The sequence below is a fragment of the Homo sapiens genome, chromosome 6 (genome assembly GCF_000001405.40).
Source record: "Homo sapiens chromosome 6, GRCh38.p14 Primary Assembly".
Classification (NCBI taxonomy): Eukaryota; Metazoa; Chordata; class Mammalia; order Primates; family Hominidae; genus Homo; species Homo sapiens.
Window position 1 is genome coordinate 148,876,125 of NC_000006.12, and position 27,767 is coordinate 148,903,891.

At 42.8% G+C, this 27,767-nt stretch overlaps 1 protein-coding gene across 7 annotated transcripts in view, besides 1 other annotated feature; it reads left to right on the forward strand.

The window, feature by feature from the left end:
- UST (uronyl 2-sulfotransferase) overlaps window positions 1-27,767 on the forward strand; it is a 329,961-nt gene that overhangs the window by 129,095 nt on the left and 173,099 nt on the right. For all 7 annotated transcript variants that reach the window (XR_001743088.3, XR_007059195.1, NM_005715.3 and 4 more), the window contains exon 2: window positions 10,862-10,905. Coding sequence is in view for 5 of the 7 variants with exons in the window: in NM_005715.3 (NP_005706.1) it covers window positions 10,862-10,905 (44 nt within the window). In the remaining 2 variants the exon portion in view is untranslated. The remainder of the gene's footprint in view (window positions 1-10,861; window positions 10,906-27,767) is intronic.
- Window positions 8,415-8,464: a silencer, noted in NCBI's record as "silent region_17655". NCBI's record gives its function as "represses an Ori minimal core promoter by ATAC-STARR-seq in GM12878 lymphoblastoid cells {active_cell/tissue: GM12878}" and the evidence as "EXISTENCE:reporter gene assay evidence [ECO:0000049][PMID:35858748]".

The window sequence follows — 27,767 nt, forward strand, 5'->3', positions numbered from 1 at the left end:
GAAGCTTACATATGCATGGCAGAAGGCGAAGGGAGAGCAGGGGTCTCACAGGACTAGACAGGAATGGGAGCAAGAGAGAGAGTGGGGGAAGTGCCACACACTTTTAAACAATCAGATCCCACAAGAACTCACTACCACAAGGACAGCACCAAGCCAGGAGGGATCCACCCCCATGACGCAAACACCTCCCACCAGGCCCCACCTCCAACACCGAGGATTATATCTCAACATGAGACTTGGAGGGGACATCCAAACTATATCAATATATTTAATTATCTTAACTCTGTGACTTACTGTCCTCAAGTTGTAAATGGGGCCATTAAACATCAAGAAAATTAAGTGATATTTCCAAAGTCACTCGGCTAGTAGAGGGCAGGTCTGAGATTTGAACCCAGGTCATTTGATTCTGGAGCCTGCAGGATTGACTCTACAACCCCTGGGCCATGTTCTTTGTCACTACTCAGTTCTACTGAATCCATTAAGTGATTCCCCTGAGGCTCCTTTTCACCATCCCTCTTGCATAAGCGTGATTGTGTCTGATTGTGGCTATTTAAAATACACAGCACCCTGATCATTCATTTCATAGTCCTTTCTCTTGTCAGCAATTCTACCAATTTCTTCTTTATTCGTTTTGTTGTTTTTGTTGTTGTTGTTCTCTATTGGATTCACGTGGGCATGGCATTGGGCTCCTCTGTGCTGACCACGTTTCCTTATCTCCTCTCCATCCCAGTCGTACAGCCTGGAAAGAGGGGGTGCGTTTCAGGGATGAGACCAGAGGGTATCTTTGCTTCAGATTTTCCAGAGCCTTCTTACTTGCGGATCCTGTGGGCCCATGAAGTGTGTGGGGGATCATGTATGAGTGTGGGGGGTCATATATGAGTTGGGGGGGGTCATGTATGAGTGCGGGGATCATGTATGAGTGTGGGGTTTGTGTATGAGTGGGGGGTTATGTATTATTGTGGGGGTCGTGTATGAGTAGGGGGGTCATGTTTGAGTGGGGGGTTGTGTATGAGTGCGGGGATTGTGTATAAGTGGGGGCATCATGTATGAGTGTGGGGGTCGTGTATGAGTGCGGGGGGTCATGTGTGGGTGGGGGGATCGTGTGTGGGTGCGGGGGGTCGTGTGTGGGTGCGGGGGGTCGTGTTTGAGTGCGGGGAGTTGTGTATGAGTGCGGGGGGTCGTGTATGAGTGTGGGTATCGTGTACAAGTGTGGGGGGTCATGTATGAGTGCAGAGATCGTGTATGAGTGGGGGGGTCGTGTATGAGTGCGGGGGTCGTGTATGAGTGCGGGGGTCGTGTATGAGTGCGGGGGATCGCGTATGAGTGGGGGGATCGTGTATGAGTGTGGGGGGTCATGTACGAGTGCTGGGGTCGTGTGTGGGTGGGGGGGTTGTGTGTGGGGGCAGGGGATCGTGTTTGAGTGCAGGGGATCGTGTATGAGTGCAGGGGTCGTGTATGAGTGCGAGGGGTCGTGTATGAGTGGGTCGTGTATGAGTGTGAGGGGTCGTGTATGAGTGTGGGGTCGTGTATGAGTGCGAGGGGTCATGTATGAGTGCAGGGGGTCATGTATGAGTGTGAGGGGTCGTGTATGAGTGGGGTGGTCGTGTATGAGTGCAGGGGGTCGTGTATGAGTGTGAGGGGTCATGAATGAGTGCGGGGTTGGGTATGAGTGTGAGGGGTCATGTGTGAGTGTGGGGTCATGTATGAGTGCGAGGGGTCGTGTACGAGTGCGGGGATCATGTACGAGTGTGGGGATCGTGTATGAGTTTGGGGGGTCATGTACGAGTGCGGAGATTGTGTATGAGTGGGGGGGTCGTGTATGAGTGCGGGGGTCGTGTATGAGTGGGGGGATCGTGTACGAGTGTGGGGAGTCATGTACGAGTGTAGGGGTCATGTACGAGTGCGGAGATTGTGTATGAGTGGGGGGTTCGTGTATGAGTGCGGGTATCGTGTATGAGTGCGGGGGATTGTGTACGAGTGAGGAGATCATGTACGAGTGTGGGGGATCATGTAAGAGTGCGGGGGTCGTGTGTGAGTGCGGGGGATTGTGTACGAGTGAGGAGATCATGTACGAGTGTGAGGGATCATGTAAGAGTGCGGGGGTCGTGTATGAGTGCGGAGATCGTGTATGAGTGCGGAGATCGTGTATGAGTACGGGGGATCATGTATGAGTGGGGGGGGTCATGTATGAGTGCGGGGATCGTGTATGAGTGGGGGGGATCGTGTATGAGTGTGGGGATCGTGTACGAGTGCGGGGGGTCATGTACGAGTGCGGAGATTGTGTATGAGTGGGGGGGTCGTGTATGAGTGTGGGGGATCGTGTATGAGTGGGGTGTCGTGTATGAGTGTGGGTATCGTGTATGAGTACAGGGATTGTGTATGAGTGCGGGGATCGTGTATGAGTGCGGGGGGTCATGTATGAGTGTGGGGGATCGTGTATGAGTAGGGGGGTCGTGTATGAGTGCGGGGGTCGTGTATTAGTGTGGGTGTCGTGTATGAGTGTGGAGATCGTGTATGAGTGCGGGGGGTCGTGTATAAGTGCGGGGGTCGTGTATGAGTGCGGGGGTCGTGTGTGAGTGCGGAGGTCGTGTATGAGTGCAGGGGATCATGTATGAGTCGGGGGTTCAGGTATGAGTGGTGGGGTCAGGTATGAGTGTGGGGATCAGGTATGAGTGTGGAGATTGTGTATGAATGTGGGGATTATGTATGAGTATGGGGATTATGTGTGAGTGTGGGGATCATGTATGAGTGTCTCCAGGACTGACAGAATATCCCCTGGTGGTTTAAGTCAAGTGGGGCCCAGAGAAACTCTGGACAGATAGAGGGTGATGCTCTTAGTTCCTCTTTTTACCCATAAAACAAGAGGTTCAACAGAACAATACATTGTTTGCAGGAACAATATGTTCTGAAATTATAAGCTCTGAAATTTATTCTTGAAAAGATCTTTAGGGCCCCAGAAAGGTTTAGGCTCCCATATGGTTTAGGGGATAAGCTCTATGCCCGGAGGTGCCCTGTGCCAGCCCACTCCCAGGCAACCTGTGAGCTAGGCCTGGCCCTTTACAATTTCCTTGCACCCCCTTGGAGCAGGTGCTGACCAGAACAGCTTGATCACCTTCCCCTGTCACTGGGAGTTCTGTGATCATCCACGCTCCATCAGCATTCTCTTTTGACAAGAAGCTTGTTTTGTATAATCTCCCACCGGAAATGATGGAAGTGGCCTGAGATGAAGATGAGCCTCGGTAAAATCTGTTATGTTTTACTTCTGGAAAGTGGGATTCAGCCTGGATTATGAAGTACATGAATTTGTGTTTTGCAGCTCAGTGGCTCTCAACCTTGGCTAGACAGTAGAATTATGTGAGGAACTTTAAAAATACCAAATACCATGGACTTGTCCCAGAATAATTAAAATCAGAATCGCTAAGGCTGGGCCCTGACAGCAACATTTCTTAAAAGCAGGCGAGTAGAATGTGCAGAGAGGGCTAAACCTTGAGTGAGAAGATGGTGAGGCAGTGAAGGCGGCTCTAATACTGCTACTGCTACTTGTAGTAGTGCAGCTAGTACTGCTAGTGAACAGTTACTAGGTGCCTATCATGTGCTGGTGTTGTTCTGAGCATTTTTCATAGAACAAAATTATTCTCATGCATTCCTTACAATAACCTATCAGCTTATTTCATTTTCACTGATGTGTACTTGGAAAACCTTGAGGAGGTACAGCAGTGTATTCAGAGTGAAATCATGTTTCATGGGGCATTCTCTACTACAAAGGTGAAGTTTAACCTGTTTGTCTAGGTGCAAGATATCTGACTTTTCTTTTTTCTTTTTTTTTTCTTTTTTTTTTTTTTTGACAAGGTCTTGCTCTGTTGCCCAGGCTGGAGGCTGGTGTGCAGTGGCACGATCTCAGCTCACTGTGATGTCTCCCTCCTGGATTCAAGTAATTCTCCCACCTCAGCTGCCTGAGTAGCTGGGATTACAGGTACCCACCACCAGGCTCAGCTAATTTTTGTATTTTTAGTGGAGATGGGGTTTCACCATGTTGGCCAGGCTAGTGTCAAACTCCTGACCTCAGGTGATCCACCCACCTCAGCTTCTCAAAGTGCTGGGATTATAGGCATGAGCCACAGCACCCAGCCAGATCTCTGACTTTTCATATCCATTGTCTTGTCATAGAAGACTTAGGTGGTCTTGGACAGCAAACATGCCTTGGTTCTGCCAGCTGAGACCCAGGTGTAGTACAGTAAACAGTGATCTTCAGATTCTGAGTTACAAATCCTGGCCTCCTAATTCCTAGAATCAGACTTCACATGAGTTTCTTGAAATGCATCTTTGCTAAAAATATTTTATAAAACTGCCAAAGTAAAGAGATCTTGATAACATACTGCCATGCAGAGACTCAGGTAGTACATACAAAGTCCTCCAAGTGCTCCAACTAACTCCTGTGTACTTGGATGTAACGCCTTTGTACCTTTCCATGTGATCCCTCATGTTACATTTACAACCTCCCTGGGAGGGCTCCATCATGAAGGGCTAGATGGGTAAGGTGAAATTTAGATTGTGTTGTAATTTAGCTGGTTGCAAAATCTGAGATCACTTGCCTTCTAGTCAGGTCATTTAAAAAACATATTAGGCAGGGTGTGGTGGCTCACACCTATAATCCTAGCATTTTGGGAGGCCAAGGTGGGTGGATCACGAGATCAGGAGATCGGGACCATCCTGGCTAACATGGTGAAACCCCATCTCTACTAAAAATACAAAAAGTTAGCTGGGTGTGGTGGTGGGCGCCTGTAATCCCAGCTACTCAGGAGGCTGAGGCAGGAGAATGGTGTGAACCCAGGAGGCGGAGCTTGCAGTAAGCCGAGATCACACCACTGCACTCCAGCCTGGGTGACAGAACCAGACTCCGTCTAAAAAAAAAAAAAAAAATTAAACCGTTAGTGTAGTGTTGTTGGTTTTGGTGTATTCTTCTATCAATGTATAGAGTATGTAACCACCACCATCTGCAAGGTATAGAGCAGCAGCATGGAGTTCCCAGGGATGGACTAGGGCGTCAAAGCCACCTTTTGTCTCCTCCGCTTACCTGAGGGGCCTGGTTAAGCTTAAGTTTCTCTAAGAGGTTAAGCTCTATGGCCAGCCCTCACTAGTGATTTCTTGGCAGTTAGGTGACAAACTCAGAAAGTTTGGCTGATGATAGGAATGGGAATGTGTGAAGTTTTTCCCGCTTGACAAGACACTGTAATTCATGATCCCCATCAGAGGGACTTGAGCCATGAAAACAAGGCTGGAATCAAAACTCTAAAGGTATAGGTTACTTTTCAGAAAAAAATGAACTGATTTACCCATAGAGGCCTCTGAAAATAAGAATGTCCTGCCTGGCACAGTGCTGCCGTCTGGATCTGAGCCTGGGGTGCCCTGGGTGGGTATAGACAGGACATGTGGAGGAGGGTGTCAGGAGCGTGCTTGTCCTCTGTCCTGGTCCAGACCCTTGCCAGCCCACTTCCACCTTTTCTTCCCTTCCCCGAATTTAGATCTTGAGCTCCATGCTCAAAGGCCTGGAGAGTTTGGGGCTGCCCTTCCATCCCCACAACTTAACACCCACCATCGACTCCTTGACAAGGCAGAGTAGCCAGAAGCTCCTTTGATGCCTGGGAGCCTCTCCAAGAAAGCTCGTTTTGATAACAGCACTCATCCTTTGATCTCCACAGGGAGCAAGTTACCAACTTCATTTTTTAAAATTCTGACAGTTTTGTTGACTTTGCACTCTGATGAAAGCGTAAAATCCTAGGATGAAAAGCTCTACCTACATATCAAATAATAAAATAGTTATACCCTAGAAGAAGAGAAACTCACTGTCTCCTGCTAAAGAAATACCTTCTGTCTATGCAACTTTTCTTTCCCCCTTTCTATACCTCTCTTATAAGGGCAAAGCATTTATAGCCTCTGAGTTCTAAGAAACCATGGGAGCACGGTGATCTGCTGGTGAGATAACCGAGATAACAGGGCCCATGGTCCAGGTGCCAACACCGAGGACCCTTGTTCCTTTATGTGCACAGAAAGAAGCATTAAAGAGAGTTGTCTCATTTCTGGTTGGGCGCAGTGGCTCACACCTGCAATCCTAGCACTTTGGGAGTCCAAGGCGGGTGGATCACCTGAGGTCAGGAGTTTGAGACCAGCCTGGCCAACATGGTGAAACCCCATCACTACTAAAAATACAAAAATTAGCTGGGCATGTTGGCGGGTGCCTGTAATCCCAGCTACTCGGGAGGCTGAGGCAGGAGAATTGCTTGAACCTGGAAGGCAGAGGCTGCAGTGAGCCGAGATTGCGCCGTTGCACTCCAGCCCGGGCAACAAGAGCAAAACTCCATCTCAAAAAAAAAAAAAAAAAAAAAAGAGTTGTCTCATTTCTGTGATGTGACATCTGATTATGAAAGTCTTCTACAGTGAAGGAATGGGGGAGGAGGAAGGTAGAAGGAGGGAAAAGAAAGAAAGAAGGAAGGGGAAAGATAAGAAAATGACGAATTATATTAGAATATTTTTGCATTTTATGGAGCAGGAGGTGTCAACAGTAGTCAGCCTGTATGGGTTTGAATTCCGCTGTTTGTTTACTGGAGATGTGGGTAAAATGCTTGACTAATATTGCTTTGAGGGGCGCTTGTGAGGATTAGATAAAATGATCTTTACAAAGTGCCTGCCAAGTAGTAAACACTCAATAAAGGTTGTTATACAATCCAGTGGCAAAAAATAGGATTTTCATTTCTTATTTGGTTTCTAGATCCTTCTACAGAATAGGAGGTGCTCTGTAAATACTGATTGAATATGTAGATGCGAGAATGCCTAATGAGGAGGTAGAGAACTAGTGCGGCCCACATTGCCCACATCTCTTCTTACCATGCTGAGGAACTTTTGTCATGCGTATCCGCGCATCTCAATTTTGAGGTAATGCTTAACTCTACCAGGGAAAGAATTTAGTGTAGACATAACTGTTAAGACAGCTACAAAGCCAGTGTCCTTAAAACAAAAAGTCATTGAATAGAAAAGAGATAGAATTGACCATTTTGCTGTGATACACTGTTCTCTTATTTTAGTATTTCTCACTTAGAACTAACAAAGGTTTTAACTGTTGAGTCAAAGGTATGCCATAGGACTTAGACCAATACCAGGTGGAAGGTAGTGAGAAGGATTGTCTAGAAGGAAGTGTGAGATGCCGTTAGACATCCAAGCTGAGGTGCTAAGGAGTTAGTAGGTACCCGAGCTTGGAGTTTGAGGAAGCAATCAGGCATTTAAATCATTCTTTTTAGGAGTTTTTAGGAACTTCAGTTCTTATGGAAACATTGAGTATTCTACACATCCATGTAAAAGCTTAACAGACTGGACTTCCTGTTTCCACTGAGGTTGAATAGAAATGACAGTAACAACAGTCACAATATTTAACTTTTATCAAGGGCTTACTTGGTGCTTAATCCTGACTTGGGTGCTCTGTATGCATTATTCCACTTAATCCCAGACCATGTCTATGACCTGGATACCATCATTCTCTTCATTTACACAAAAAGAGATAGATACGGAGAAATTAAGAAAATGACCCAGTATCATACAGATAGCTAAGTCATGGCATTGAGTTATAAGGGGATAAATTATGAGATGGACTTCTGCACAATGTGTGTCCTCTAAAATAGGTCTTTTCCCCCAAACTCCATGATTAGTGCTTCTGTTCACTTATTAAAAACACTGGGCCAGGCGCAGTGGCTCACGCCTGTAATCCCAGCACTTTGGGAGCCCGAGGCGGGCAGATCACTTGAGGTCAGGAGTTCAAGACCAGCCTGGCCAACATGGAGAAACCCTGTCTCTACTAAAAATACAAAAAATTAACCAGGTGTGGTGGTGCATGCCTGTAATCCCAGCTGCTCGGGAGGCTGAGGCAGGAGAATCGCTTGAACCCGGGAGACGGAGGTTGCAGTGAGCCAAGATTGCACCACTGCACTCCAGCCTGGGCAACAAAGTGAGACACCGTCTCAAAAAAAAAAAAAAAAAATTGCAGACCCTTTGGCTAAGGAGCAAACTGGGCTAATGTACTAGTAATAGTTCCTTCTTACAAGCCATTGCTAAGATTTTGGTATAAAGAGTTAGTTAATGTGGTATTTCGTTCATTAAGTGAATACTGAGTACCTGCTATTTTCCAGGCTCTGTTCTAGGAACTGAAGCAATGAACAGGTCACACAAGTCCCTGTTCTCATAAAGCTTGTACACTAGCTGAAAGAGAAAGACGGTAAACAAGTAAATGAGTGTGCTATTTTAGACAGGGTATTCAGAGTGGGCATCTATAAAGAAGTTCCATTTGAATAGAGACTGAATGAAGAGGGTGGGGAAGAGCTTTTCTGGAAGAGGATAGAGCCAGTTCAAAAGGCCCCTCATTGACAAGAGGCTGGAGTGCTCTGAACCACAGAGAAGGCTGTGGTGGCTAGTGGTGCATGGAGGGGGAGGTGGGGCCTGGGTGATGCAGGGCCTTACAGACCATGGCGAGGAGCTGACTCTTTTGTGTGTAGAGAAATTGAGTTTAAGCAGAGGGCTACCATGATCTAGTAGATAAGGCTGAACGATCTCTCTGGTTGCTATATGAGTAGGAGAGGAAATTGGTGATAGAGACACAAGGCATCTCTCATATGGCCCAGAGGGACTGGTGAGAAGTGGTCAGATTTGAGTTATATTTTGAAAGCCAAGCCAATAGGACTTGTCTTTGGGTTGGTACCTATAGCATAGGGGAAAAACATGGATCAAGAATGACTCTTGGGCTTTGGCCTGAAAAATGGGACACGTTTGGAGGAAGGGATATATTGTATAACCCAATAAGGAAGACAGTGGAGGCAGAAATTTGCAGGATGGAATTGGAGCAAATAGGGTTCTGTTTTGGACAGGGGAAGTGTGAGATGCCTTTAGACATCCAAGCTGAGGTGCCAAGGAGTTAGTAGGTACCCGAGCCTGGAGTTTGAGGTAGGAATCAGGCATTTAAATCGTTCTTTTTTAGGAGTTTTTAGGAACTTCAGTTCTTATGGAAAATTTAGTATTTTAGAAATATTTAGTTGTTGAGGCTGTCTTCGATCCTTGAGATTGATTCCTGGAGAACATGCTGGTGTGTGCTGGGATTTCTCACGCTTCCCCTGGGGAAGGCATATTCCCATGCTGAGCAGATGGGAGCTCCAGGCAGCCGCACCAGCTGCACGGTGGTAGAATATTTCTAAATAGTTCTCTAGGCACAGGCAGCTATTTTTCTGAATTCTTTGACTCATATAACCTCTTTACTAAATCCAACATAGATCTTACATCCTATTCATGCACGCTCTCAGTGGAGTTCAGAAGTACATTAATTAAGGTCTAACAAATTGTTCATCATGTTCACATTTAAAAGGGTCCTAAAATAGCCCAATCATGGGCATGCTGGGTGTTTGTGTTTAAGTGTCTTATACACTAAAACTGGACCCTGATGTTCCTTTACTATATACAAATGGCCACTGTGAACACCAAGTGGGCTATAAATCAGAAGATGACAAAGAAAAGGGGAAGGATGATGACTCAGTATGGAAAAACCTATAAGCCAGAACCCGCTTATTTATTATGTTTGGATACATTTCCCCAGTTCAACTGTCCCTGGCTTAAGCCCTGCTTCCCCCTTCTTAGTCCAGTTTCTTAAGTCATTTTTGCTCTCTGCTGTCAAAAGCACCTTTCATCCACTCAGACTAAGACACTGACCTTATCCCCCAATCATCTACTGTTCTCTAGAGGTATTCTTGCAGTTCCGTTCCATGATTTTCTACATTTCATTCCATTAGCTTGTTTGGTCATTTTTACTTTTCTGGTGAGATGATTTTCCCTAGACTCACAAGAGTTACCCCTCTTGGATAGGCGCCTTCGATTATACTGATTGCATCTTTGGCTCCCCAGGTGATCAGATGTCTCCAGATGGTAATGTTTACAGTGCCTGCCTCACACAGAAGCCTGAGATGGCAGGAAGGACTCTAGGTAGGCTTTTCAGATGGGTAGATGCCTGAACATGCTCTGGAAAAACCAGTCTTCTCTCCTCTCTGCAGTTTACCAGCTGTGTGACTGTGCATAGGTTACTGAGTTTCTCCAGGCCTCTGTTCTCTCCTCTGTTAAAAGGGGACACTTCTAATCCATCTCTGGTATTTGCATTAAATAGATAAATACCTGTAAAGCACTTAGCAGAGTAGCTGCTACTGAAAGGAAGTCAGTAAACTTTAATTCCCTTCCAAATCCCTCTGAGTCTTTTATTCATCAGGAAACAATAGCCGTGCACTCTGAATACACACATGCCAGTAAATGGCTATTAGTGAAGACAAATCAAGCTCCGGAAGCAAGCTAGCCTGAAGAGAGAAGAGAAACAGACAATTTTAAGACAAATTGGAGAAAGAGAGTATGGGGTTCAGGACCGGCAGCATCAGTATCTCTTGGGAACTGGTTAGAAATGCAGGTTCTCAGACTGGGGCTGGGCAGTCTTGTTTCAACAAGCCCTGCGGGTAATTCTGAAGTACAATAACATTTGAGTACCAATGGTCTAAGCTAAACTCAGCAGATAATGGGTGAGAATAATGGTGCGTGTTACTGTGTGTGTTATGTATGTTTGTGTGCATACATAACCATGTATGTAGAATGTTTGTAACAGCTGAAACTATTAATCAAACATAGTAATATCAGCAAAATCCAGTCAAACCAGTGATTAATTCCCCATTTTTCTTTGGTACTGTTGTCTGAGCAGAAATACTGTATAACTAGAATGCTTATCTTCAATAACTTTGCACTAAATTCATTTGGGATTTAAAAAACGGATTCATCAACTTTTTCCTTTATTTTCTAGGAAATTCCACTTACTTGGATGACCATGGACCACCTCCTAGTAAGGTAAGATCTTTGCTTGTGATATAAGTCCCCTTTTTCTTTTATCTTACTTACAGCCTCCAACAAGCAGAACAGATCTCTCCTGGACACGAATCATTCACAAGAAACAGTAGATGACATATGTGAAATTGATGTTTAACTTCTAACAAGGAGGAAGCAGAAAAGCATGATGATAGCCCAGATGACAGGGAGAAGGAGCCATTGTTGAATCAGTGGCTGTTGCTGCCCAGGCATTGGAGCCTGAGACTGACTTCAGACCTCTGGCAGCTTCTCCTGTTTGCACCTCATTTTCATTTGCCTTGGCATCGATGCTGGCCCACAGTGTGATAGCCACACCCGGCCTCCCCATGCCTTCGGGCTTTGGGGCTAGACTCACATCTGTCCTGTTCTCTCCAGCCTAACTGGGTTGGGATACTCCACTTGAGGCCCTGCCAATACCACCTCAAGGCTGCCCTGGCCTGGCCTGTGAGTCCACTTTTGTTTTTCCTGTAAGCAGTTTTGTCTGACTTAAGGGGCAGAATAATCCTTTAGTATAGTTTCCCTAACACTGTTTACTTTCTTGAGCTCAATGAAAACCGAATGCTAATCTACTGAAAAGTGAGCAAACTAGAACAAATTGATCATTGTATATAAGAAAATACATGCAATGCAATTACCCTTTATTCTAACCGTATGTCCCTTGTACTTTTTTGACATCATTTTTTTTCCTTCTAGGAAATGATGGGGATTGTTGATCAGTACTTGGGAAGGGGTTGTGCTTGGCAAAATAAGAAGTTGGCAACCCTCTATCTGTCACTTCAAGAATGTTCTTTCTGGCCTGTGAAATCTTAAAGTGTAGATACAAGCACTCTAGCTCTCCCTGTACTTGGTTGTTTTCTTAGTCTTTGACCACTTAAGGTGATGCCTACAAAATGCAGTTGTAAATACACGGTGAGAAGATAATGAACCCCCAACCTTAGAGGCTTTGGGGAAATTTACTCCTGTATTAGTCCATTCCTGCATTGCTATAAAGAAATACCCGAGACTGGGTAATTTAAAAAATTCCACAGGCTGTATAGGAAGCATGATAGAGGCATCTACTCAGCTTCTGGGGAGGCTTCAGGAAACTTTCAATCATGGTGGAAGGCAGAGAGGAAGCAGGCGCATCTTACGTGGCCAGAGCAGGAACAAGAGGGATTGGGGGAGGTACCACACACTTTTAAACAACCAGATCTCACAGGAACTCACTGTCGCCATGACAGCACCAAGGGGGATAGTGCTAAACCCTGAAAATCCACCCTCATGATCCAGTCACCTCCCACCAGGCCACTCCGACACTGGGGATGACAATTAGACATGAGATTTGGGTGGGGACACAGATCCAAACAAATCAGCCCCAAAGTATGTTTAGACCACCCCCACATTCATGAGCATGAACTTTGGAAGAAGATATTTCTGGATTCAACACTGACGCTGCCACTTTCTAGCTGTGTGACAGTGGATGAATTACTTAATATTTTGAGCCTCAGTTTCTCATGTGCAGGGTGGGACTAAAAATACCGCTTACAGCACAGGATGCCTAAAATGATTGAATGAGCTGATGTATGATGAACACTTGACACTGACATGCGATAAACATTAAATCAAGGGTGGCTGCTGTTAACTGTACTGCAGTAACATTAAAATTATTGATGAGTGGTACAGCAGTATTTATCACAGTCGTGGAATGGTTCTACCACTTGATCCACCACCTGTTTATTGAATGCCTGTGATGCTGCAGGTGGTAGAAATACAAATATGAAACAAAACAAGAACAACAACAACAAAAATAGCCTCTATTCTAGAGGAGCAAAGGAATATAGAGGATTATGTTCTCTCTGGGGATAAGGACCGTGTCTAACTCGTCTCAGTATCCTCACATTCTTGTATTAGCCTCAATGCACAGAGGCACATCATGACTATTCATTAAATTTCACTGAATTAGACCATGGAATCCAGAGCTGGAATCTGAATTAGGTCTTCTGGCTTCCATCCCAGGTTCTTTCACTGAGCCAGTATTCTCAAACTTTAGCTTGCATCGAAAGTACCTGGAGGCTTATTAAAACACAGATTGCTGGGCCCAGGCCCCAGAGTGTCTGATTCAGTGGGTCTGGGGTGGGAGCTGAGCATGTGCATTTCTCACAAGCTCCCACATGATGCTGATGCTGTCAGTCTGGAGTTCACATTGGAGAGCCACTGTTCTAAAGGCCATGAATATAAAGAGAACCATTTCCTTAGACATTTTCTGTGGTGTTTTTACTGTTAATAGCCTAGAGAGAGTGATATGGCTATTATCTAAAGTTTATTTATTAATGTAATGATGACTCACCATTGTAAGTTTTCTTGTAGAGAAAACATTTTTAGAGGGGTCAGTTACCTGCCTAGGAGGGACAATAGAGGGGGAAAAGAAGAATGGTGCCGAAGGTCCTGGTAGGTGTCCTCACCAGTGACTTCCTTTTTCTCCCAGGTAGGGAGGGGCAAGGTGAAGCACTCCATAGCCCCCTGCCCTGTCATGATATTATTGAGTTGGATTAGGTGGCTCTGTCAATGGGACCCATCAGCTGTTTTCCTCAATGGCTTTTTGTTCCTGGCTTGGTAAACAGGATTTTATCTGGTCTGAAGACCCAGACCCTTTTTTTATGAACTTGCCTTTTTGACCTTTTTCCTTGGTGGCCAGCCTGAGTCAACACTTTGGTCTTCCTGCTGGTCTTGCTGTGGCTGGGTTGTCTGTCCTGCCTGCCTCTTTGCTGGGATTGTCAGTGCCTAGATTCGGTGTTGGCTGGCTTCACTTCCCCTTCTCCCATAGGGTCTTCCCTAGCTGTGCCTCTTCCCCCTGCCCCTACAGTCTGGTCTTCAACTCCCCCATATCTCCCCCAACCCCTAACTAAAGCTTCTTGTAATATGCAAAAATGATCAGGTTATAGCAGATTATTCAGACCCCTTTAGAGTAAATCCAGTTTTATAAACTCTTTACTAAGTTTGAAAATTGGGAGCATAATCTCTTTAAATCAGCAGAAGTTTACCTAATACAGAAGCTTTCACTATAACTGTATTTTCATTATCTGGGATTGGAGCAGCAAAATACTCTTGATTTTCTAAGCAGTAGCCATAAGAAGAAGAATATAAAAATGGGTAAAAATATTACTGGTATGTGAACATCTTCTCATCCGTTCTTATTGCTTCTGGCAGGGTGGAAATGAATCTCAGAAGTGATGAGGTCAGACTTCCGGATAAAGGTCCCTTAAGTGTCCCCTGGGGTGGGGCCTCAGTGGTTTAGGTCTGTAGACCACTGGCTTATCCAGGGACAGGGTGGCATGCAGACGATGAGGACTCACACATGCCTGGCCTCTGGAATGAACCCTTACCCTGGCAGGGAAAAGCAAGACTCAGTCCAGACCCATCTTTTTCATATTTGCTTAGTGCTCAAAAAATAACTTTTTGATGCCAAGACTGAAAGAGTTGAGATCTAGATAAAATAAGATTTTTAAACCCTGAAAATATACTGACGTTACAGGCGAGTTCTCATTTTATTAAATGTTCAATTTCACAAGTTTCACATTCCACAAGTAATAGCCATTTAGGGAATGGGGTGTGCCACACAACACATACTGGGCCCCCGTCCTCATTCTGTCCAATATTTTCATAAGAAAAAACAAAGCCCTCTGATTTTCACTTGTTTTTAAAATCCACTTGAACCTCACAGCTCACCTCGGTTTTTGAACTAAGCCGCTATTTACAGGTCGATGTTAATATTTTCTTTCGGTTGCCACATTTTACCACTACTTTGTATGTACACAGAATACGGTGGTTTAAGGTTAGAGCACTGACTAAGAATCACCATGGAGATTTCTAGCAAATGAAACAGAAAGATTATTTTAAGTACAAAAACAAAAGCATGATAGCTCTTTTTGTGAAATTGCACGCATATGTTTGTATGTATGCCTACAGAGACAAGCCTGGAAAGGGTAATAGTGTTTTCTCCAAGTGGTGAGATTTTGGGAAGCTTCTACCCAGTTCCTTATACTTTAATGCATAATTTGAGTTCATTAAAGTAACACCTGCTCAATCTAAAAATCAGAAAAAGAAATTTTCTGGTATGAGAGAAGATTACAGTTGGGTTTAAAGGCTTCAGTGCCGTGGCCTCTGCAGCATCATGTGCAGTGTCCACAGACCCGAGAAGCTGACGTTTCCCCTCCTTGGCTTCACTTCACCTGGGACGTGGGTACCTGGTGCAAGCAGCGGGCAGCAGCAATGATAAGTTCTGTTGGTAACAAACAGGATGTGGATATCATTTCATATACATTGACATCCCAAACCCCATAGATAAGGAGAGCTGTTCTAACCGCCTCAAAGATAATAAAATCGCTATCCATATCTGTTTTTTCCTGTGTGCCACACACTATGCTAAGCACTTTGCATGCAAAATTTAATCTCTATAAATGATATAAGAGAGGAAGTAATTTTTAAATCCTTACTTTACAGATAAGGGAGCTGGATTTTAGAGGGACAGGCTAACTTGCCAAAGGTCACACACTAAGTAAGCATTGGACTTGGGATTCCAGCCCAGGGCTGTGTATAGCTCCAGTGCTCATGTTTTTAACCATTTCAAAATTACTAATTTAAGTAGAAATACAATAATTTTCTACCTTATTTCTAAATTTTTGCACTTTTAAATAAGCAATCTGGTACATTGATTAGTATAATACACAAATTTTAACCTTCAGTATACCAGAAAAAAATAGTCATCACCATTTACCATTTGGGTTCAAAGGACACTTAATTTTTTAAAATCAATGCAGTGAACCTTTTCACATCTACTTTATCCGTTTTCTTCCAGTAACCTTTGTATACTTAGCTACCTTCAGCACCTGAACGTTTTCAAACTGTATATAAAGTAAATTTTGGTATACAGACTTGAAAAGGTGAAAGAATACCATCCCACATTCATTTAGCAAAACAGGATGGTCCGGGTTCTTTTCACAAAATATTATTTGAGGGAATCCTTCCTCTTGAACGACTGACTGTATAAGAATAGCATGTTTTCTTTTTGTCCTTAGAAATATATTGTTCATTCAATATATTTAGAGAGTCTAAGAGAATTAATCTATCATGTCATCATCTGAAGAGTCGTAGTCTGACGTTTCGTTTCCATGATCAATTTCATCATCATCATTAGAGTCTTCAGTGCCGTCGTGTGATGGCTTGCATTCATCTCTGATGTTTCTGTTGTTTGTGAAATCTCATCTCTCTTTCTGTCAGTTATCTTCTTTTTGTCATTATAGGCAAGAATGAAAAATTTGAAATTCTCCACTCTAGTCAATGAAATTAAAACAAACTACAAAGATGATGTCTCTAGTCTCCTTTTATATCCTCCAAAAAGATGATGTAATACTTTGGGTAATACAATAAGAAAGATGGAGGGTGATGCAATAGTGACAATTTATTTCACTAATGAATCATTCCCTTAGGCTCACATTGTTTAATATGGTAGCTATTAGCCTCAGGTAGCTATTTAAATCTAAATTAATTAAAATTAAAAAAATAAAAATTCAGTTTCTCCATTGCACTAGCCACATTTCAAATTCTCTGTAGCTATATGCAGCTAGTGGTTACTGTCTTGCACAAGAAAAATAGAACATTTTCATCATCAAGGAACATTCTACTGAATGGCAGTGTTCTAATCCATTCTATTGTTCTTATATTTTTCTATTACTTTAGTCTTCTTAAACCTTATTTGGGAATAATTGATATATAACTGGTGGGTAATTGTTCCTGAGATGATAAAATAGCAAACTGTTTCAAGATATAGGAATAATAAAATTACAAAGATGCCATAATGGATCTTAGATTTTCTTAAACGGTCTGCTGGACCCATATGGTAGTTGCAAGGTAGAATGAGTTTTATTCTCTTTCTTTTTTTAAAAAAAAGTATTTTCTCTTTTTCTTTGTAATATCTCTAAGAAAGAATAAAGTTATAAAATATTAATCCATACAAATAGCTAGAACTGCTTCAAATTTATAAAACCTAAAAAACTAAAAGTGGGTCCAATGGATGCTAATAGTATATTGAGGGTTAAGATATATTACTGATATCTACACTTACATACAAAAGCATTTTTATATATAAAATATTATGTTTGCATATAAAGTATTAGTATTCAAAATTCCGTTGTAAAATGGGTTCATTAGAAGGCGGCTTACAATTATTATGCTGATCCAGCAATCTCCAAATGAATGAGAAGTAGTAATATGAACTGAGATAATATTTGTATAGTGCTTTGCAGTGTCTGGCAGTGAACCATTGCTCAATAAAGTTGAGTCCTTCCTACCTACACCCCCAGAAGCTAATTTCCCTTTAGTATTGATTGTTTAATGCCTACTTAGTCTAAGGGATCAGGAAGACATTTAAAGAATTGAAGATGATCTCTGTAATCTAACAGCTTATAATCTGGTTGTGTCATGAGGTTTGATGGAATCAAAGACAGAGAGCACATGCTTCTGTGACTGATAGATTCTTAAGTCTAAGTGACATGCATTCATCCAAGTGTTTACTATGCATCAAATTTGTCTTGGGCTCTGTGCTGGGTGCTGAGGCTGTCAGGCCACAGAATGCACAGTCTATGCCCTCCGGGAGTTTAGTCCAGTCAAAGGACAGGCTGGCAAACAGATTCATACAGTAAGTATGCTAAGTGGGCTGCTGGATGCTATGATGAGGATGCACACTCAACACAAGGAGAATGCAGGAAGCTCAACTTGACCTTTTTTCCAGGTGCAAGTCCTGAAGTTTGAATAGGAGGAACTAACTAGGTCAGATAACCTGGGATGCGGACAGGCATGGTGGCTTATGCCTCTAATCCGAGCACTTTTGGAGGCTGAGGTGGGAGGATCGCTTGAGCCCAGAGAGTTGGAGGTTACAGTGAGCTATGATTGCACCACCACTCTCCAGCCTGGGTGACAGAGTGAGACTCTGTCTCTTCAAAAAAAAGTCTAGGATGGAAAGGATGAGAAGGGATGGGCCTCACTGCTGGAGTTTTAAGAGTGGTAGGTGGGAAATTGAGATATGAACTGCTTTGAGGAGCTTGGCTTTAACAGGAAAGAGAGAAAAGATGATAGGCAGTGGAGTCCATGTCTACGTAATTGTGTAGTAGGAAAGGAATGATCAGTCACAAATCCAGTTTTGAATGGTGTCATGGATTGAATTATGTTTTCCCAAAAGATACATTGGATCCTAACCCCAGAATCTGTGAGTGGGATCCTGTTTGTAATTAGGCTCTTTGCAGATGAAGATGAGGTCATACTGGAGAAGGGTGGACCCTAAAGACAATGATTGATGTCTGTATAAGAAGAGGGAAATTTGGACACAGAGATAGAGACCCACAGGAGAATGCAGTAGGGACAATGGAGGCAGATTGGGATTATGCTGTTATGCTGCCACAGACCAAGGTACACCAAGGATGGCTGGCAGCCACCAACGAGCAGAGAAGCATGGAGCAGGTTCCCCCTCCAAACCCCCAGGCAGGAGCCAGCCCTATAGACACCTTGATTTCAGATTTCTGACCTCCTGAACTGTGACGGTAAATTTCTGTTGTTTTAAGCCACCAAGTTTGTGGTACTTTGTTACAGCAGCCCCAGGTAGCAATGCAAATGGATTGAGTTTAATATCTTCAGTTACTAGGATACTATTAAGTATTATGCCTTTTAGGCATTATTTGATTTGATTTAAGAAACATTGAAACCATTTTTAGAAGCTTATCAGGATAATTTCAGTGCTTTTTTTTTTTTTTTTTTTTTTGAGATGGAGTCTCGCTCTATTGCCAGGCTGGAGTGTAGTGGCGCGATCTTGGCTCACTGCAACCTCCGCCTCCCGGATTCAAGCAATTCTCCTGCCTCAGCCTCCCGAGTAGCTGGGACTACAGGTGTGCACCATCATGCCTGGCTAATTTTTGTATTTTTAGTAGAGACGGGGTTTCACCATGTTGGCCAGGATGGTCTCGATCTCTTGACCTTGTGATCCACCCACCTCGGCCTCCCAAACTGCTGGGATTACAGGCATGAGCCACTGCGCCTGGCATTTCAGTGCATTTTTAAGTTTTTTTTCCAACCTTCCATACCACTCAGGTTTTCCCCCCAACCTTCTTTCTTCACTTTTCCTCATCATTCTCATGTTTTTAGCTGTGTTATTAGCCCCAACATTCTCTCCAATTTCTTCTATTTAAAATTCATTCCTGCTGTTCAAATTGTGTTATCTTCTACACAAAAAACATATTATATTACATCATATTTTTCTCTGAAAAGGATCTCAGTGACAATTCATTTAAGACAAAGTTACCGAAGAGAGAGATCCTGTTGCCACACAACAGAGGGACATGAGAGCAACAAAGAAAAACAGTAAGGAAGTCTGCTGTCTCTCAAACAATGTGCCCCTATTTCTACAGGAAACTTCTCAGCCTAACTAACCGTTAGGCTAACAATATGATACAGTTTGGCTGTGTCCCTACCAAAATCTCATCTTGAATTGTAGCTCCCATAATTCCCAAGTGTTGTGGGAGGTAGCCAGTGGGAGATAATCATGGGGGTGGTTTCCTCCATACTGTTCTTGTGGTAGTGAATCCATCTCACAAGATCTGATGGTTTTATGAGGGGAAACTGCTTTCACTGATTCTCACTCTCTTCTCTTGTCTGCTGCCATGTGAGATGTGCCTTTCACCTTCAGCCATGATCGTGAGGCCTCCTTAGCCATGTGGAACTGTGACTCCGTCAAACCTCTTTCTTTTGTAAATTACCCAGTCTTGGGTATGTCTTTATCAGCAGTGTGAAAATGGACTAATACACAAAACTACCACAAGTTCCTAAGAAAGATTACATTTTTTTCCCCTTTTAATAACTTCTTTAGATTTAGAGACACATTGACAGAAAGAGGTTCCATGTTCTATAGTAAAGAAACCATGATGTCCATTCCTTGCTTTGAGCTTAAAGATGAAAACCCAAATATATTATAATGATAGTAGGTAAATTACTTATAGAAGGTATTGGGAGTACAATGACCTTCAGTTGGCTTGGTTAAGCATTGGTGACCTTGGAGAAGATTTCTGGATCCAAAAGTCCCCATTTCCCGGAGGGCAGGATTGCTGGATTTTGTGTGTATACACAGTCTCCTTTGGTTAGCATCACTTTTACTTGCAAGAGTAGATTTCAGAGAAAAATGAATTTCTTGTTTCTGTCTCCCAAAACCTCAAAGCCTATTTTTCAGGATATAGACATGCCCATCCACCTGGTTTTCCTCTTCTCTGTGAGGACCTGCAAGAAGCAAATAAATCTCTGGCACAAAATTGTGTTGTGTGCAGGGCCGCCCTGCCTAGCATGCTTCCATGTGGCCACAGCTCCTGAAGCCATTGCTGCTGCTAAGAGGGTGCCCCTGGTTCCACGCTCCTATTCATTGTTCTGTAAAGAACATGCGATGTGGTAAAAACCCACATTGTCTGATTTTCTTTGAAAAACAAAGAACTGGCGTTCTCAAGAAGTTTATAATACTTTCTTATTTTTGTCTAAGGCTGAAATGATGAAACCTCTTTATTTTCAACTTTTCAATTATTTTTAATTATGAACTATTCCAAACACAAAAAAAATGAATGAGACTAATAAAATATATATCCAGTATGTCCAATGCACTCACCCACCCCTTAGGCTGAAAACATGTGACTGTGTTAATTTGCTGCATGCTTCCTTCTGAACTTTCTGTTCATTCTTGGTGCCTGGGAGGAGGCTGAGAAGCATCGGTTTTAGAATCAGATCTCAGTTCAAATCCTAGCTACGTCACTAGTTACCCTAGGTACTCTAAATGAGTACGTCACCTCTTTGAGCTTCAGTTTTCTATTTCTAAAAGAGGATAGTAATGCCCACCTCTTAGGATTGTGAGGCTGAAGTGAGATCACTGGAATGCACTTAGCATGATGCCTGACACATGGTAGCACCCAGCAATGGGTCCTTGGTTCTATAGCTGTTTCCTTGATGTAGATTCTGGTAACTCAGTTTGCTATAACTTAGAGCAAGCCTAGTTCCCAGTCCCCCACCCCACCCCACACCCTATTTTCGTTGGAGTTTTACTTTTATTTTACTTTTAAAATTTTTTTAAAATTTTTTTGAGACTGAGTCTCACACTGTCGTCCAGGCTGGAGTATAGTGGTATGATCTCGGCTCACTGCAACCTCCACCTCCTGGGTTCAGGTGATTCTTGTGCCTCAGCCTCCCGAGTAGCTGGGATTACAGGTGTGCACTATCATGCCCAGCTAATTTTTATATTTTCAGTAGAGATGGGGTTTCACCATGTTGGCCAGGCTGGTCTCAAACTCCTGACCTCAAGGAGTTTGAGACCTGACCTGCCTGTCTTGGCCTCCCAAAGTGCTGGGATTACAGGCTTGAGCCACCAGGCCCAGCCTTATCTTTTTATTTTTAATTTTTTTTTTTAGAGACACAGTCTTGCCCTGTCACACAGGCTGGAGTACAGTGGCACAATCATAGCTCACTGTAGCCTTGACCTCCTGGGCTCAAGTTATCTTCCTGCCTCAGCCTCCCAAGTAGCTAGGATTACAGGTGTGTGCCACTATGCCCAGCTAACTTTTTTTTTTTGGTAGAGATGGGGTCTCACTCTGTTGCCCAGGCTGGCCTTGAACCCCTGGCTTCAAGTGATCCTTCTGCCTCGGCCTCCCAAAGTGTTGGGATTATAGGCATGAGCCACTGCAACTGGCTTCTTTGGATTTTTAAAAGCAATTACATGCCAATTGGCAGACCAGATACGAATCTCTTACCTTATAAGAACATTGAGGTCTTGTAGGTATCCCCGCTTTGATGCCTTTGGGCTAATTCAGGACACTAAGCAAGGCCTTTCACAATCCCCTGCCATTTTGTTTTTTCCTAAGAATATATTGTTCTCTGTTTCAAACCTGACTTTACCAAAAGTCCTTTAAAAAAAAAAATCCTACAAAAGTACAAAAGTGAAGCTGCTTTTCATTTTATGGAAGAATCAATTGCACTGGGTAATAGATTTGTGTTTAATGATTCATGATAAATATATCAGGTTTAGAGAAAGAGAGACCTAGCAAGACAGAATGAGGCTGGGAGTTAGGAATCAGTTTCACTCTGATGAACATGACCTTGAAAGAGTCCCTTCCACCCTCTCATTTTTTTTATCATTGCAAGTGATAGGAAAATTAATGATGTGAACATTTTATTTTTAAATAATTATAAGAGCTTCTGAGACCACTGTATGCTATAAAGAACTTTATGCTTTGGTATTCTGTTGGAGATGGGTAATTAATAGCTTATAAGGTAAAATAATCTGCAAAAGGAAAACAAATCAACCTTACATAATAGGGTTATTGTTTTTTTAATCCCGAAGTCGCCTGTATTCCCACTTCACTCTTACTTCGCGCTCATCACATTTCTTAAACCATTTATGTGGAAGTGTTTGGCCCAGCTGGCTGCTTTCTCAGATTTCAACTTTCAGTGGAGATCCATGTCCAAGTTCAGACACAGTCCTAAATTTATCAATTTTATGAGCATGTAATGTGTCTACTCTTGCCCAAGAAGAACATAATGAATTCATTTCTTCCTCCACAAATGTTTAGTGCTATTAAGCACATCTTTCATTTTTCTAATTAAAAAATTCTGTGAAGCCACAGTTTTAAAAATATGTAGTTTATGTAATTGTTCTTTTAGTATCTTCCCCACCCCAATCCCCAGGGGCCAGTTATCATTGATAAGATGTTCACCAAGCCTTATCCAGACCAGCCTCAGTTACAAAATCATGAGCTTAACTGGTTGTTGGGGCTGGGCTGTCTATAACAAAAATGAAGGGCTTTAAATGAAGCATGAAATTTTAAAATGGCACATTGTTGTTGGAAAGCATATTTAATCAAGAAACTGCTTTAGCAAATTAAGAAAACCCATGCCACCATTCCTTGGCAGAGTGGCAGTTGCCTCAGGGCTCTGCAAGTTGTAGTAACTTAATCATCTTAGCAGCTCCCAATATAGCATATAGCTACCTAATCCTTTTTTTTTTTTTTTTTTTTTTTTTGAGATGGAGTCTCGCTCTGTCGCCCAGGCTGGAGTGCAGTGGCAGGATCTCGGCTCACTGCAAGCTCCGCCTCCCGGGTTCACACCATTCTCCTGCCTCAGCCTCCCAAGTAGCTGGGACTACAGGCACCCGCCACTACGCCCAGCTAATTTTTTGTATTTTTAGTGGAGACGGGGTTTCACCATGTTAGCCAGAATGGTCTCGATCTCCTGACCTCATGATCTGCCCGCCTCGGCCTCCCAAAGTGCTGGGATTACAGGCGTGAGCCACCGCACCCAGCCTACCTAATTCTTTTCTTATTTTTTATTAGATTGTATGATCATTTCTTTGTTTTAAAAATTATGCATGCTTCTATTATGTTTTAATTTGGAAAGTACAGAAAATTATAGACTAGCAGGAAAAAATAATTACCCACAATGCCACCACGCAAGGGCAACTAAAATGAACCATTTTCACCCATCTAGTCTTTATAGTATATTAATAATATTCAAGCCTCCTGTCACATTTGTTGCAAATATTTCATCAGTCCTTGTATGTTTAATCAAAGTCGTGCATGCACGTAACACACAGAGTTTACAGAACCAAAGTGCTTGTTGAAAAACAGTGGTCCCCGATGGCGCCCTGCACGTCACTTTCTGCTCTTTTATCTGGTTCTTTAGTATTAACTTCATATCCCTGGTTAACCTGTTATGTTGCTGCTTCCGGATTTCACTCAGCTTTAGGCATTGTCTGTGCAAGAGAAGGATTTAGCTCTTTCACTGCAGCTGACCCACCTCCCACCCCCCATCACCCTTCTGTGCCATCTAGCCTTCTTGCCTAGGTGTATGTTATTGGGGCTAAATCAATGCCCAGTGATTTTATTGTTGCAACTAGGTAGACAGGAGTGACAGCTGAGCCATTATGATTATGTCTCCTTTCCTGCTTATCTTTTCATTTCCTTTATAACAAATAATTCTCTTGTTTTGTAAATTTATTTACATACTTTTCTATGATCCCCAATTTATCCTTGAACTCTTCTTCAGTTGTGTAAATCTCCCTGGAGCCTTCACACACATTAGGTGTTGTGTCAGTGTGGAGTTGATGAAGTCTCTCCTGGGGTCTTCTTGCCTGCTCCCATCAGAACGGCTTGCTCGCTCAACCTCATGCTCAGGTGTGTCTTGGGATCTCCTTTCACTCTCTTCTGTATCGATATGGTTTGGCTGTGTCCCCACCTAGGTCTCATCTTGAATTGTAGCTCCAATAATCCCCACGTGTTGTGGGAGGGACCCAGTGGGAGGCAATTGAATCATGAGGGTAGGTCTTTCCTTTGCTATTCTCGTGATAGTAAGTCTCACGAGATCTGATGGTTTTATCAAGGGGCGTTTCCCTGCACAAACTCTCTTCTCTTGTCTGCCACCATGTGAGATGTGCCTTTCACCTTCTGCCGTGATTGTGAGGCCTCCCAGCCTTGTGGAACTGTGAGTCCATTAAACCTCTTCCTTTTGTAAATTGCCCAGTCTGGGATATGTCTTTATCAGCAGCATGAAAATGAACTACTACATGTATTCACTCCTATTTCCTGCATTACCATATTGTATTTGTTCCTTTTTGCTGCTGTAACAATTACAGCAAGCTTAGTAGCTTAAAGCAACACACATTTATTGTCTTACAGTTCTGGAGGTCAGAAGTCTGAAATGGGTCTCACTGGGCTCAAATTGAAGAGTCAGCAGAGATGCGTTCCTTCTGGAAGCTCTGGGGCAAATCCATTTCCTTGACTTTTCCAGCTTCTAGAGGCCACCAGCATTTCTTGACTTATGTCTCCTTTATCTTCAAGGCCAGCATTGTTGCATCCTCAGATCTCAGACTCTCCTTCTCCTCTCTCCTTCCTTAATTTATCAGGACCCTTGTGATTACATTGGACTCACCTGGGTAATCCAGGATCCTCTCCTCAGCTCAGGATTCTTAACTTATCACACCTGCAAAGTCCTTTTTGCCATGTAGGGTAACATATTCACAGAATTTGGAGATGAGGACATGGGCATCTTTGGGGGACCATCATTCTGCCTTCTTTCCTCAGCCTCCAGTAGCTTCTCAAGAACAGGCGCATGGGACAGAAGTCATCTGAAATACTGCATTTCTGAAAATATCTTTATTTCATCCTTGATTGATAGTTTGACATGATATGGAATTCCAGATTGGAAATCCATATTAATCAAGATAGGTTAGGGTGATGCAATTATAATAAACTCCAAAATCTTAGTGGCTTTGCACATTCGAGTTTATTTCTTGCTTGTATAAGAAATAGCTTATATAGCTCAGGGATCCAGGCTGTTTCCATCTTGTGGCATTACCGTCTCAACACAGGACCTCCAATGTTACTGTGGCACAGAGCAGAGAGGAACTAGAGGGGCACGTAGGGAGACTTTTCAGCCCTTCAGCCCAGAAGTGACCCGTGTCACTTTTTTTTTTTTTTTTTTTGAGACAGAGTTTTGCTCTTGTCACCCTGACTGGAGTGCAATGGTGTGATCTTAGCTCACTGCAACCTCTGCCTCCCGGGTTCAAATGATTCTCCTGCCTCAGCCTCCTGAGTAGCTGGGATTGCAGGCGCCTGCCACCACGCCCAGCTAATTTTTGTATTTTTAGTAGAGATGGGGGTTTTGCCATGTTGGCCAGGCTGGTCTCGAACTCCTGACCTCAAGTGGTCCACCCGCCTCGGCCTCCCAAAGTGTTGGGATTACAGGCGTGAGCCACTGCGCCTGGCTGACTTGTGTCACTTCTGTGAGCAGTCCATTAGCCAGAACTTGTCGCAAGGCCCCACTTAACTGACAGAGGGCTGCAAGATAGAGCATATGAATACTCTGAGCATTGACTATCTCTGCCACAAAATCATGTCCCCTCTGAGTATGAAGGTTTTTGCCAGTTTTATTCTAGCTTCCAGTATTTCTGTTGAGAAAACGAATTCCTGATTTTTTATATGAACATCTAATCTGTCTCTGTGGAAGCTTCTTATTCTTCGTGTTCTAAAATTGTATAATTCTGTGTCTGGTGTGTATAAGTTTCATGTACCATTCCAGATACTTGGTGGACTTTGCAATCTAGAAACAGATACCCTGTTCTGGAAACTTTGCTTGATGTTTTATTTTCCAGAAAGATAGGATTTCACTCTGTAACCCAGGCTGGAGTACAGTGGTGTGATCACAGCTCACTGCAACCTTGAAATCCTGGGCTCAAGTGATCTTCCCACCTCAGCCTCCTGAATAGCTGGGACTACAGGCATGTGCAACCATGCCTGGCTAATTTTTTTTTTTTTTTTAATTTTAATAGACCCAAGGTCTAGCTATGTTGCCCAGCCAGGTCTTGAACTCCTGGGCTTAAGCGATCCTCCCGCCTCAGCCTCCCAAAGTGCTAGGATTACAGGCATGAGCTATTGCATCTCGCCTGGTTTTAATTTTTACATTTTTTAATGAATTTTGAGTCTCACGTTGTTGCCCAGGTTGGTCTTGAACTCCTGGCCTTCAGTCATCCTCCTGCCTCAGCTTCCCAAAGTGCTGGGATTGTAGCTGTGAGCCACCTTGCCTGTTTCTTCCTCTACATTTTCATTTTTTGTCATTCTGAACCTACTCTTATTTGGATTTTGGACCTCCAGGAGTAGTTGTCTGTGTTTCTTGGCCTTGTTCCTCTCATTTTTTCTTTTCTTTGTCTTTTTTGCTCTACTGTCTAGAAGAGTTTTGAAACTGTCTTCCACTCCTTCTGTTGCATTTCTTCCTTGCTGTTCTCATATGTTTCATTTACAAGAGCTTGTTGTTGTTGTTGTTCTCTGAATGTTCCTTATTATAACATTCTTTGGTTCCATACGGGGTCTTTACATTTCACACTAAAGGTTATTATAGGTATTTTTATTATTTTTTGGTTGCTATTCTGGATGGAATATTTTTCCACTATGTTTTAAATTTATTGTTGTAATACTGAAAAATTACTGATATAATGTCATGTTACTGAACTTTTTATTTCAATAATTTTTCATTTATTTTCTTTTTCCTTTTTTTGATAGAGAATCACATAATTGACAAAAAGCATGCATTTTATCTCTTTATCCAATTCTGTTTTAAGTTTTATAACATTATCCAGAATAATATTATGTAATGTAAAGTCCATGGTGGGAGACTGTGTATTAATTATCATGTCCCCCACATTTAGGACATGTACCTATTTAGTTGACAATAAATACATGTCAAATGAATGAATGATGGTTATAGACAGTATCTTTCTTTTGCTTCAAGTTTTAATAATATTAAAAATGTTCTGTCATTGAGTATAATTGTAATTTTTAGTTTAAGATACATATTCTTTATCATGTTAACAAAATATTATTTTTAAATTTTCTGAAAGCATACAGTTATTCAAGAAAATATGTTTCCTTTGTGGGTTGTGATCTTGCACTCAGGAACATGTGCTGAATTAGTTTAATTCAACTTTATTTTATAAACTAATAGGGGTAAAAACTAATGGGGACAGACAGTTTGAGACGTGCAGACAGGCACTATTTCTCAGTATTTGATTTGTTGTAACATTTTTACTGGTGACCGGAAGAGGAAATGCTCAGAAAAATCTGAGTTTGCAGGTGACTCTAATATGCAGGTGACTCTAATATTTTTTCTGGTACTACTGAACCACAGGACTATCTACTAAGCTCAGAGTCTCTGTCACCTGTAATGTAGGGGCTTCCTCCCAGGAAAATACTGCAGCCCAAAGAGGCTGTCAAAGTACTGGACACCCTGGAGCACAGAATATAACA